Source organism: Homo sapiens, chromosome 22, assembly GCF_000001405.40.
Source record: "Homo sapiens chromosome 22, GRCh38.p14 Primary Assembly".
NCBI lineage: Eukaryota > Metazoa > Chordata > Mammalia > Primates > Hominidae > Homo > Homo sapiens.
The window spans coordinates 22365059-22377194 of record NC_000022.11 but is presented as its reverse complement, the minus strand read 5'-3'; the positions used below and the strand labels follow the sequence as shown (position 1 = coordinate 22377194).

Below are 12136 nucleotides of genomic sequence, written 5' to 3'. Positions count from 1 at the left end.
CAAGGAGCAGCCTCTGGCTTGTCTCAGCCATGGTGGAGCCTCCCCTTGATTCTGTCATGTCCTACATAGAGGTTTACTGGCATCGGGCCCGCAGTTACCCTAATATCTAACGCCATCTCCTGACATTGCCACTGAAATGCAGGTACCCAGGACTGAGCCAGGTCAGCACTATATCCAGAATTCCCTGACCTGAGTCCTCAGGCAGCATTTCATATTTGAGTGCCTTGTTCCTGGGACACAGTGAGCCTCAGACAGCCCTGAGAACAGACTACTGGGGATGGAAGGGGAGGTCTCTGCCCGTACGCTGGAAGAGCAGAGTCCATGCTGCAGGGCACTGTTCACCTGCTATGTTGTCCCCAGGCTCTGACCATGATGTGAGCTAGGAAAGCCTCATTTTGCTTCTTTCAAGAAAAAAACGTCCAGCTCCACAGGCACTGGTGTTAGCACATGTGGACAACCAGCCAACACTTCAGGGTCATCAGGTGGTTTTGTTTTGTTTTGTTTTGTTTTACTGAGACTTCAGAAAAATGGATAGAAAATTGAGAGAAGAGCCTTTTACAACTAGAAAGTACTTCCAAATATAGTTTGTGCCTAGGCCAGTTATTTTAAAATTTAAAAATTGGTACAGAGCAAGACCCAGAGCAGGGTGAGGTTTTTGTCCCACTTCCCCATCTGTGTGTGTCACTGTGAGAAGCGCTGCTGTGCCAAATCATACAGTAATAGTCAGCCTCATCCTCAGACTGGAGCCCAGAGATGAGTAAAATCCCTGCATTGGCCGAAGCATCTTTGGATCCAGAGAAGCGGCTGGGGACTCCAGAGCCCTGCTGCTTATCTGAGTCTGATTTGTACCTCAGGAGATACTGGGGAGGACTCCCTGGCTTCTGCTGGTACCAGTATATCCTGTAGGTACCAACATTGATGCCACTGCACAAGGTGCAGGTGAGACTGGCTGATGCTCCAGGAGATGCAGAGAGGGAAGACGGCTGAGTCAGCACAGCCTGCGAGAGGGAACCTGGAAACACAGACATTAATGGGTGCTAAGGCAGAAACCAGGGTAAAGTTTTTCAGGGATCTTTGCCAGAAGAGTCAGAATCAGGCTGGGTGGCTGACCCTGGTCTCTGAAGTCTATTCCTACCTGTGCAGTGAGAGAGGAACAGGAGGAGGAGAGGAGTCCAGGCCATGGTGGACACAACCTCTTACCCCCGCAGTGGGACTGGGCTGCCCCAGGCCTCCTTTTCTTCCCACTGTTGCAGAGGAGGGGTTGCTCATGCAAATGTGTTTCCACCCAGGGACTGCCGGGCCCCTCCTTGAGACCTGGGGATGCAGCTCAGCTCTCTCTGCAGACTGAGCAGGAGGAAGGTTTGCTTTTCTTTTTGCAAGGCCCTGGGAGGAAGCACCTGTTGAGACCATACACAGGTCCCTGCTCAGGGAACTCTGCCAGGCCAGAGGGGACACAGCTGCCGAGTGTCCATCAGTGAGCACAGGGCCCAGCCTCAAGGCCTGGATTTCTCTGAGTGAATGCTCATTACTGAGCAGCTGTGTCGGAACCACAGGGCAGCCCCACAACATCTGACGCTGGTCCCAGGAAACACACTTTCCCAAAGCTCAGAGACTTCAGAACCCAGCTGGTCTCTGCAGCTCTTTAGTCACTGTCTGTATTCACATATCCATGGTCTGATTCCCAGACACTGCTTCTATCATGCTATGCATTATTACTACGATTTCTCACTCCCAGAAGTAGTCTTGGTCTGTGGGATGTGCAGACCTGTACATACATAACTTTTATAGGTGTCAGCACCCCAACAGGGCATTTTAGAAAAATCTATTTGCCCACATATGTCATCAGAGTGGGCATCATGGAAAAGGGGTCAGCTGAGGAGCTGGGTTGAAGGGCAGCTGGGGTTGTTCAAAAAGATGGTGAATAATGAAAAATTTCCAGGAAAAATAAAGGATCAATGACATGTTAAAGGCAGCAATTCCTTTGGGAAGCCAAGGCGGGCGGATCACGAGGTCAGTAGATCAAGACCATCCTGGCTAACGCGGTGAAACCCCGTCTCTACTAAAAATACAACATATTAGCTGGGCGTGGTGGCAGGCGCCTGTAGTCCCAGCTACTCGGGAGGCTGATGCAGGAGAATGGCGTGAACCCGGGAACCCGGGAGGTGGAGCTTGCAGTGAGCTGATATTGGGCCACTGCACCCCAGCCTGGGCGACAAAGCGAGATTCTGTCTAAAAAAAAAAAAAAAAAAAAAAAAGACAGCAATGCAACACAAGTTATATTTACAATGGTTTCATACGTTTTAAAGAGATTTGATTCGATTTTGTGATACAGGAAAACTAATAGATTTGCTAGACTTACCTTTACCAGTGAACAGTGTGACATATTTCACTATTTTATGAAATTAGCCATTATCTCCCTAAGTAAAACGTCATTTTCTGCACAGTTGCATCATATTTTTTGGTCAAGAATTTGTTCTAGCTGTTATACAAATTGCATTGTGCTATTACCACGTGTATTTTTTTACTAGGTGTTTTCAGTTTATTAGAAAGATCAGTATGTATTTTACCTGCAAAATTCTCTTGCAAATGAGTTGGATGTCTCAGGAGACAAAAGCAGAGACCATCACTTCTCAATTTAGCCACATCTACTCTTGTGCTAACTGTGCAAATGGCCCCTGAGTTTCTAGACTCACGAGGTGCTTTAGCGAATAATCTAGAATCAGGATCACTCACTTTTCTCAGACACTCTCTTCTCAAGGCATTCAGAGAGATCCCTGTCACTCAGATAGGGCAGGCAGGGCACTCCCTGGTTTAAGCCCCTTGAGTAACTCCTCATTGTTATTATGAAACCTGAACCCTGAGACCTCAGCAACATGCCCTTCACATTGTGGCCCCAGAACTCCCCCACAGCCCAACTCACAGCCCCTGCCCTTGCTTTTAGGGCTCCAGGCTCACTCACTTCTCTGTCCTGGGAAACCCTGAGCTCCTGTGTTTTCCATGTTCTCCACACCAGCTTCTCCTCTGCCTGTTGGGAGAAGATGGGCTTCCACTTGAAGTCAAAGTGTAAGCTTACATTTTGTCCACATGGTACACCTGGTAAAAGCAGAACATAAACATCTCATTGCAAAAAAGGATATTTTCACTGGTTAGCATGGAAACGTTTGAGTCATACAAATATACAGAGAATTTTCTGATGAATTGTTTGCACCAATCAGCCAACTTTGACCATCATCAATGTGGTTCATCTTGTTTAATTTTTCAACCCATTTTACCCATCAACTTACTCCCTTTCTAGGTGATTTTTAGAACAGATCAAGGAAGCAGTATTTTATCATTGGTACATAAATTAACAAATATATACATTTGAAGTGTTCCATAATTCTTGTGCATTAAAGCAACAGATTCCAAGGACTCTAACATTAATAGATTTGTCTTTTAATCATTCATGTTTAAAATTAATTTATTGTAATAATTGGGAGACTGGAGGAAGTACAATGAATGCTACGATTTGCAAAGGCAGAGCCCACAGCATTGCATATTGGATTAGAAAAAAGTCCAGATGGGCACTACATTCATAATTATTTAATGGCTTTACCCAGTCCTCCTAGTGCAGAAATATCTCTTCTGTGGACACAGAGCTCACAAACCCATCATTCTTTCTTCAAGAATTTCTCCATCAAAGTCTATTATGGGACTTGGGACTGATGAGTTTAATGTTTGAATTGCATTGATCATATGACTTATTGGAAGCTTTAGAATTAATATTTTGTTGAAGTATATGTAATGTAAACCTTCTTAGTTATATAAATATTGCCAGAAATTTTCCCAACTCACCCACATTCTGCAGTTTATTTGCTCTTGAGAGATTTTGTGCCCAGAATTTGCTTCATTATCAACTTGCTTCCTGTGGTTTTTTTAGCAGGGCCATCACCTTCTCTCCACTTTCTCCACATAAGCCCATGGGATCCAGCATGTATGGATCCATGGGAATCAGACCATAAATGAGTGAACAGAGGCTGTGATTAGGAGCTGCAGAGAGCAGCTAGGCACTCAAGACTCTGGGCCATGGGGAGGTATGTGTGATCCATTTGTATTTTCATATCCATATCCTTCTCCTGCTAACCAAATCCAAAGGCAAAACTTCATACTTAATATCTTCTATTGAATGAACTTGGAATCTCAAACACAAAATATCCAGAATTTTTTTAAAAATTATTAACTTGACCTCAGATCTGTACCTCTTTTTGGGATTCCAATGTAGGTGAACTCACATATTTAATAAACATGTATTAAGTCTTTCCTTAGTGCCAGGCAGCATTTTGGGCAATGACAAGACAGAAAACAACAACAACAATAAACAGTCTCATGGAGGTTGGATCTCAACAGGGGAAACCCAGTGAATAGAGTCACTAACTATAAAGAAACATCTTCATGTGGCTGACCCCACCCTGACAAGTTCGCCACTCTAGGGATCTGAGGCCAATTGCTGACAGCTGAGAGACATGCATTTCTATAATTCTGAAGAATGGATTGACTTGTTCATAAGTTGATGATGTTATTTGAATACATGTGTTAAATATAATCCTGCTTCAACGGAAAGAGGTCAATCTCCTTGGCCTCACAAATGGCTGGGTTCCTACTGTAGGGCAGAAATAAAACAGAACATTCCCATGATGCAGAAGAATTCCTAAGGGGAACCAGATAACTGAGTATGAGGAGGGAACTTCATTATCAGATAATCTCCCTACTGCTCTGTTTGTGATGGAGACAGAGCAGCAGAGACACCACAGGCCTGGAGGCCCGCCCTGAGAAGGAGGCAAGGATGAAAGGAGGTAAAGAGAAGGGTGGATAAAAATGCCTGGGAGGGAGCTGGACAAACTGCAAATTAGTGTGCCCTGAAATCAGGCACCTAAGCGCTGACACCTCCCCTCTCGTGGTTTCTGATGTAGCTCCGGGGAGGTTTGATCACGAGCTTTAACAGCAGTCCTTTAGTGTGTAAGGCATCATCCCATGTTCTGTAGAATGTTCTGTCCTGACCCTCAGTGCTTTTGCTCCATACAAAGGAGCCAGGTCTCTCTCTGGGTGTGAAAAGTGATGTTCGAAATGAATCTCACTGAATACGAGGGAAGGGCAGCAATGAGTCCTGAGTCCCAGGAGATATCCAAAGAAAAAAGGTGTGTGAGACACTCAGTAACGGCAAGAGGATGTTGTCAGGTTTATATCACAGGAACAAGCTTTGGGCCTCAACCTAGTGACCTCTTTCCTTTGGTCTTACTCACCATGGTGTGGGTCACGCATATTTCACCACCTCAGCTGCTTCATCACTTGCTGGAGACCTCATCTCTCATGTGGAGAAAGCTACCGTCTCCTAATTAGACCCTCCACTTTCACTCTCTCCCCTCCTTTTTCATCTTCTTTGGAGAAGCTGGACTTTTCTCCTAAGTCTCCCATCAGACTCCGTGTCTTCCTTGCTTACAACTCCCTAAGGGCTTCCTATTGCTCTCCCCCTTCTGGCCAGTGTCACCTCTTGGATACACCACAATATGCCTTACTCCTATTGACTTGTTGGCCCTCACTTTTCTGCATGGTGTCAGTCCTGTGAAGACAGAATCCCTGTCTGTCTTCTCACCTCTGTATCCTTAGCATGAGACCTGAGCCTGGCACATAGTAGGTATTCAGTAAACAATAAGGACAAACAGAGATCTTTATTAGTGCACATGCCTGAGACAGACCCAGCTGGATTCTGTCCCTGCTTGCCCTGGCCTATCATGGCTGTATTCCCAGGGCAGCCTGTTCCAGAAATCAAGGACTTTCTGATTCTTCTGAGGCAGTCTGACAATGCTGTGGCCAAGGGCTCTCTCTGAAGTCTGGCCCTGAGAAAACAAAGCAGCATTCTCTAGATCACTGTCCCTAATCTGAGCCCTGGGTCCTGGTTAGCAGAAGCACCAGCAAACATGCACACAAATGGTAAACAGCCCTGCTGTCCTGGTTGTATGGTGCTGTAGTTAGGTCGTGCTCCTAGGAGACCTGACATGTTCCTGTCTCACTCCCCCAGACTGCAGCACTGTTTGGGCCTCCAGGGGGCTGTCTGAAGCCAACAGTTGAGATCAGCGTTGTCCTCAGCCTGGAGCCCAGAGATGCTTGGGAAGGCCTCCTTGCCAAACTGGTAGCCCGAGCATCCATCCTGGGTCCCTGCAGGCAGATATTTGCTTCTATACATCAGAAGTTTGGAGGCACTTCCTTGTCATTGTTGGTACCAGGACACAATTCCAAGAACCTTATTGCTGCTGATTCCAGTGCAGGAGATGGTGACTGGTTTTGTCACAGACAGACTGTGCAGGCTACCAAGTGAGCCCTGACTGCCCAGGACCCTGAGAGTCAGGAGAGAGGCACAGGGTGTGGGAGGAGGCATAAAGATGTGTAAAACCAGAGAGAAAAAGCACAAGGTATGACCCCCATTGTGGAAATATTGAGAACAAAAATGAAAGAATGCATCCAAATGAAGAAATTGGATTGTTTCTGATGAGACAGCTTTGCAGTGAACTTGGTGGTTTTTAATATTTTTATTTTATATAATAGGCATGTATTGGTTTGAAAGTAAATCAATAAAGCAAATTTTAGTCATATACAAAAAAAGAGTTTCTTCTCTTTGCTCTTAGCTCAGAAAGCCTATACACTGAAGATGCTTCTTTCTGGAGGTATTGGTTTGAAAGTAACTCAATAAAACAAACTTCAGTAATATGCAAAAAAAGTTTCTTTGCTCTTAGCTCAGAAAGCCTATACACTGAAGATGCTTCTTTCTGGAGGAAATGCATTTTGACCCAGCCTTTATATGTGATCCTGCTGTTAGTGTTCCTTTTAGAATAGAAAACAATTAACTTTTCCTTTTTTTTTTTTGATCCAGTTACTCCCAAATCATTCTTACATTTCCTACACATCAAGACTTAAGTAGAAATAGGAATCAATTCAAACCCTTTCCTTCCCCTTTCTATGGCTGGTCCACATGTAGGCTATCTTGGGATCTGGCATGTCTGATCATGTGATCTCCACATCACAAGGGCCGAGGGAGGTTTATGTCTTGGTTCCTCTCATGGGTCTGTCACTGTGCCGAGCACCACTATAGGAGAGCAAGCAGTAATACTCAGCCTCATCCTCAGGCTGCGCACCCAAAAGGGTCAGGGCAGCTTTGCCCCCAAGGAGGGAGCCTGAGAACCGGGCAGGTGTCCAGGAGTGTTTGTTGCTTGTATCATAAATCAGTGTCCTGGGGGCTTGGCCAGGCTTCTGCTGGAACCAGTAGGGATAATGACCACTGGTGACAGCTCCAGTGCTGGAGCCACAGGTGAGAGTGACTGTCCCTCCTGGGGACACAGTCAGTGAGGGCTCCTGAGTCACCACAGCCTGGGAATTGGACCCTGAAACAAAAAAAACAGACATATATTAGGAATTAGAAAGGGAGAAAAAGGGATCCCTCCAAAGGCTGGTATTTGAAATCTCTCTTAACCTGGGCAGCAAGTGAGGAGGAACAGAAAGAGAGGAGTCCAGGCCATGGTGCTGATATTGGAAGGGACCCCTGGTGCCAGAGCTGGGGCTGGATTCTGATGGCTCTTTATCTCCTATTGAGCTCTCCGCACGGAGGGGGTGTGCTGTGTGCTGCTTTATGCAAATCTTTACTGCCTTTATCACCACCTGGGTCCACAGCCCTGAGAGCAGCTACACTGTGGGGGGCCAGCCCAGGGTGGCTGTGTGCTGTGGATTTGTCCTGTGGGAGGAAGCAGCTGCTCTAACATTTCCATGAGTCAGTGAGCATCTGTGCAGGGTTCATTAAGTTTGAACCTCTTGAGCTTCTTACAATCCAAGAGACCCAGACCACCCCCTGGTGGCTTTCCTGGACTGAGAATGTGTTGTCTTTCACTTCTTTAACAAATAACTATTGATTTGTCTTTGGACATTGCCACAATATTTCCCAGGCCAATTCATACCCATTACTTGTCTATTCTTTGCTCATTCCTGTTTGTATTACTTTCTCTTGCTGTTGCTGAAATCCTGCCCCTGTGACTATAATGCGATTTTAGTGCTACATGGTGTTCGTTGCTATCTGAACACCAGATAACAACGTTTGAATGACTAAATATTTAGTTTGAATGACTAAATAATTGTTTTAATGACCTACTGACTTTTTGAAACTATTTGCGTTGAGCCTCATATTGGATAAACAGCTCGTTTATATGAGACTTTTTAAAATAATTTTCTTTAGAAAATTTTTTAAAAGAAAATGACCAAAGGTTGAAGATTGAAGTTTTATTGTCAATTCAGTGGAAACTCAAGTGAGCCATGAGGATGGTCATCAAGGTCTACATAACAACCCCACTCTCACCCACCCCACCAATCAAAATTTTTCTGGACACCAAGCCTGGGTGAGCTTTGCTGGTTGGCAATGCTTCCTACATAGAATCACACATTGTTGCCGGCAGAATGCAGCGTTGTCTATTACTCCACTGGGAGAGGACAAATGGATGCTTGTGCTTGGAATTCTCCTGAACTCTGCCCATGTGTCTCTTTCCTTGAATTATTTTAATCTGTATTATTTCACTGTAGAAAAATCACATTAATGAATGTCACAGTTTTCAGTGAGTCATGTGAGTCCTTCTAGGGACTCATAAGAAGTGAAGGGCTGTTTGGGGTCCCTGAGCTGAAAATTAGCTTCAGAATTGAGAGTGCTCTTGGGAATCTTCAGACCTCCCAGTTTCCAATCTTGCATTATTCTTTTTTTTAACTTCAAAACAAATTTTATTTAGAAAGAGTTTTTCATGTTGTTGATGATGCAAGCAAACTTTTTTCACAATTACACTTCTAGAGATCTAGTAGTTTCAGAGATCTAAGTCTTCAAAGGTATGTTTTAAAATTAATAACAAAACCAAATCCACACCGACAAGAAATCACTTTTTGCTTGGTTTGGAAGGGACAGCCATTGATACCAGGTGTTCTCAGAAACGGGCTCACCACTTCCTTGGAAAACAGATAGCATGGAATCAGTGTCCACAGAAGGAAATGTCTTTAAATATGTTTGTTTTTGGGACAAGGTTATTTATTCCTGGAAAATGCAGTAAGATAAAAAGTCCCAGCTGGCAAGGTATGCAGTACAGCACCAGTTTTACAGAGGGATTACAAGATCTTGGGATCAGTAGCTGTTGGCTTATGGCACAGAATATGAGCAGTCACTGGAAGTGGAAGAAGAATGATGATGAGCAGGGAGTCTCTCCCAGTCTTATTCAGCCTTTTCACTTGCTAAATGGATAGGCTATGTTCTGTAGCATCTTTGGGAAAACATTTGAGACAGTTCAAAAAACAACAACAACTACAGAAGCCGTCCAGTATCATTCCCCAGAAAGTCCATATTTGAAAAGAAAGAGGGACCTGTTCAGGGTTCCCATGGAGGACTGTGCCTCCATCCACTTCTGTCTCCAGGAGATACAAGACATCAGCCAGAGTGTGCTCTACCACAGCATCCCAGCCCATGTCACTCATAAGGGAGTAAGCGAGATCCTTTGGAGGACACTCGCAGCACAGTCCAAAGTTAATGCAAACCATGCAGTTGTTTTCCTGTGAGATGGCTGGAAATCAACCCCCTCAAAAATACCTTTTATTCAACATATTAATTGACACCATTTTTATAAAATATTATTTGCCTGTGCAGAATCTGTTTTAGGCTCTTCTGTGCTTTATCCAAAATGTCTTTTTCCTCAAAATACAAATAATTCTTGTATTTTATCAAAGCCTTATCTTTGTAAGTATCAGGCAATAACTTGGCTGTCTCTGTGTTTTCAGGAAGATTAATATAAAATCCCAAGACCTGTCCTCATCCGTAGCTAGAAGAGTATTATTTGCCAGTGGACAGGTGGAACTTGGTTCCCTTTTGCTCTGCCAAGAATAGCTAAGTTTATCATAACCTAAGGGAGATTGATGGTTACCTTAGGACTGAGACCAACCCCATTGGCAGTGGTGTCTGGTGACAACTCATCCTTGATGATTTCAAAGTCCCAGGTCCCTTTCCATACCCCATGAGAGGCCTGCATCATAGAGTAACCCTTCTTTCCAACCACAGTCAGCCAGCTGGTCATTGGAGATCTTTACCTGGAGAGCTTAATCATGTTAGACTAACAAAACCTGTTCACAGAAACAGGCTCCGTAGAGGTCTTCAGGAATAATTTCTCCTGCCTAGCAGTCTTCAACCTTCTGAGGACCAAGGGTGTGTGGCTCAGGCTCGGTTGGAATATACCAGTAGCCATCCTTGTTAAATGGGTGTTTTAAAAGGTGTAAGGGGCAAGGCGCTGAGCAGAAAACAAAGGGTCACTCTGGGCCTTCTTGGTGGTCTCTGAGATCTCATCTTGCTGTTTGCACTGAACTCCTCTTCCTCTTTTCTGCTGCTTCCTGTTCAGTTGCCCCATTCAGATTCCCACTCACAGACAGGGCACTGCTTTGCTTTTGCTTGTCATAAACAGGATCAGTTTTACCAAAGTCCTGATCCAAAAGTCCAAATCTTGGGCAATCTTCTTTCAGGTCTTTACTCCCTGGATCCAGGAGGTCCTTTACCAAGAATAAATCTCTCTCTTTACTCATTGTTTTAACGATGTTATCCAGCCTAGTCATTTTCCCAGGTGTCTGAATGGTCATCATGCACTCCCAGTATTTATCAATAAATGCTATAGCATTCATCCTGTGTTTGGGACTGCCATGCCAGCTTAACCAAAGCACTATGAAAACTGTAGTTGGTCATGAAAGGTAGACAGGATGACATGTCTTTGCCAGATATATCAACTATGAGCCATTTTCATAGGACAGCAGATGTCCCTCTCCAGCTGGAGAGGCTGCTACCATTGCCACCAGCTTCATCTCCCCTTCTTTGGCCATAGTTGCACTAGAGGCTGCTCCTGGACTGGGTCAGGCACCCACCCCTACCATCATGGCCATTCTCAGACTTTCTCATGTTATTTTGTGTCACCTGTAATGAGGTACCTCCAACTCTATTGGTCTGTTAGGATGCTGTGGGGCTGGCACAGAAGGAAGGGTGTCCTGGCTACTCAGGCACACTCTCCTAGTCCTGTATATTTTTATTGTTCTTGTAACTGCACCAAATATAAATCTTTTTGTTTTTGACAGTGGTAAATTATTCAAACACAAAACACATATTTTAACCATTTTCAACCACACGCTTCAGTGTCATTAAGTAAAGTAATATTGTTGTACAGTCACGTACCACCATTCGTCTCCAGGAATTTTTCATCCTCCCAAACCAAAATTTCATGCCTGGAAAACATCATTCTACTTCTTGTCTCTATGGATTTCACTACTCTAGGTACCTCATATAAGAGCAAACAGACAACATTTGTCCTTTTGAAACCAGCTTATTTCTGTTGGCATGATGTCTTTAGGGTTCATCCATGCCATCGCATGGGTCAGAACTTTCTTTTTAAGGTTGAATACTATTCCCTTGTGTGTGTATACTATATTCCGTTTATCCATTAGATGACACTTGGGCTGCCTCCACCTTTTAGCTATTGTGAATGATGCTGCTACGAACAAGGGTGGACAATTTTGAGATCCTGCTTTCAATTCTTTGAGGCACATGCCCAGAAGTGAAAATTCTGATAAAATGGTAATTCTATGTTTAGTTTTCTGAGCAACTGTCATCAAGGCCACCTCAGTGGATGCATCATTTTATAGTCCCTCCAGCAATGCATTACAGTTATAATTTCTATACATCTTTGCTACAACTTATTATTTTCCATTATTTGGGTAAAGCCATCCTAATGGGTGTGGGTCCCGATTTTGTTTTGGGTTGTTTCCTATTTGCTCAAGTATTGAAATGTAAGAGATTTTCTTTCTTTCTTTCTTTCTTTCTTTCTTTCTTTCTTTCTTTCTTTCTTTCTTTCTTCCTTCCTTCCTTCTTTCTTTTCTTTCTTTCTTTCTTTCTTTCTTTTCCTTCCTCCTTTCTTTCTGTCTTTCTTTCTTTCCTTTCTTCTTTCATCTCTCTCTCTCTCTTTTTGTAGAGACAGGGCCTTGCTTTGTTGCCCAGGCTGTTCTTGAACTCTTGACCACAAGCAGTCCTCCCACCTCAGCCTCTCAAAGTGTTAGGATT

At 44.1% G+C, this 12136-nt stretch overlaps 1 pseudogene, 2 gene segments (V, D, J or C) and 1 further gene; all 4 read right to left on the bottom strand.

Moving 5' to 3' along the window:
- Positions 1–12136, bottom strand: part of IGL (immunoglobulin lambda locus) — an 896838-nt gene that overhangs the window by 545719 nt on the left and 338983 nt on the right.
- On the bottom strand, positions 690–1181 carry IGLV5-45 (immunoglobulin lambda variable 5-45). The segment is given in 2 exon segments: positions 690–1012; positions 1136–1181. Coding segments are annotated over 2 exon segments (369 nt in total).
- IGLV7-46 (immunoglobulin lambda variable 7-46) lies at positions 7108–7547 on the bottom strand. The segment is given in 2 exon segments: positions 7108–7412; positions 7502–7547. Coding segments are annotated over 2 exon segments (351 nt in total).
- On the bottom strand, positions 8772–10829 carry ASH2LP2 (ASH2L pseudogene 2; annotated as a pseudogene).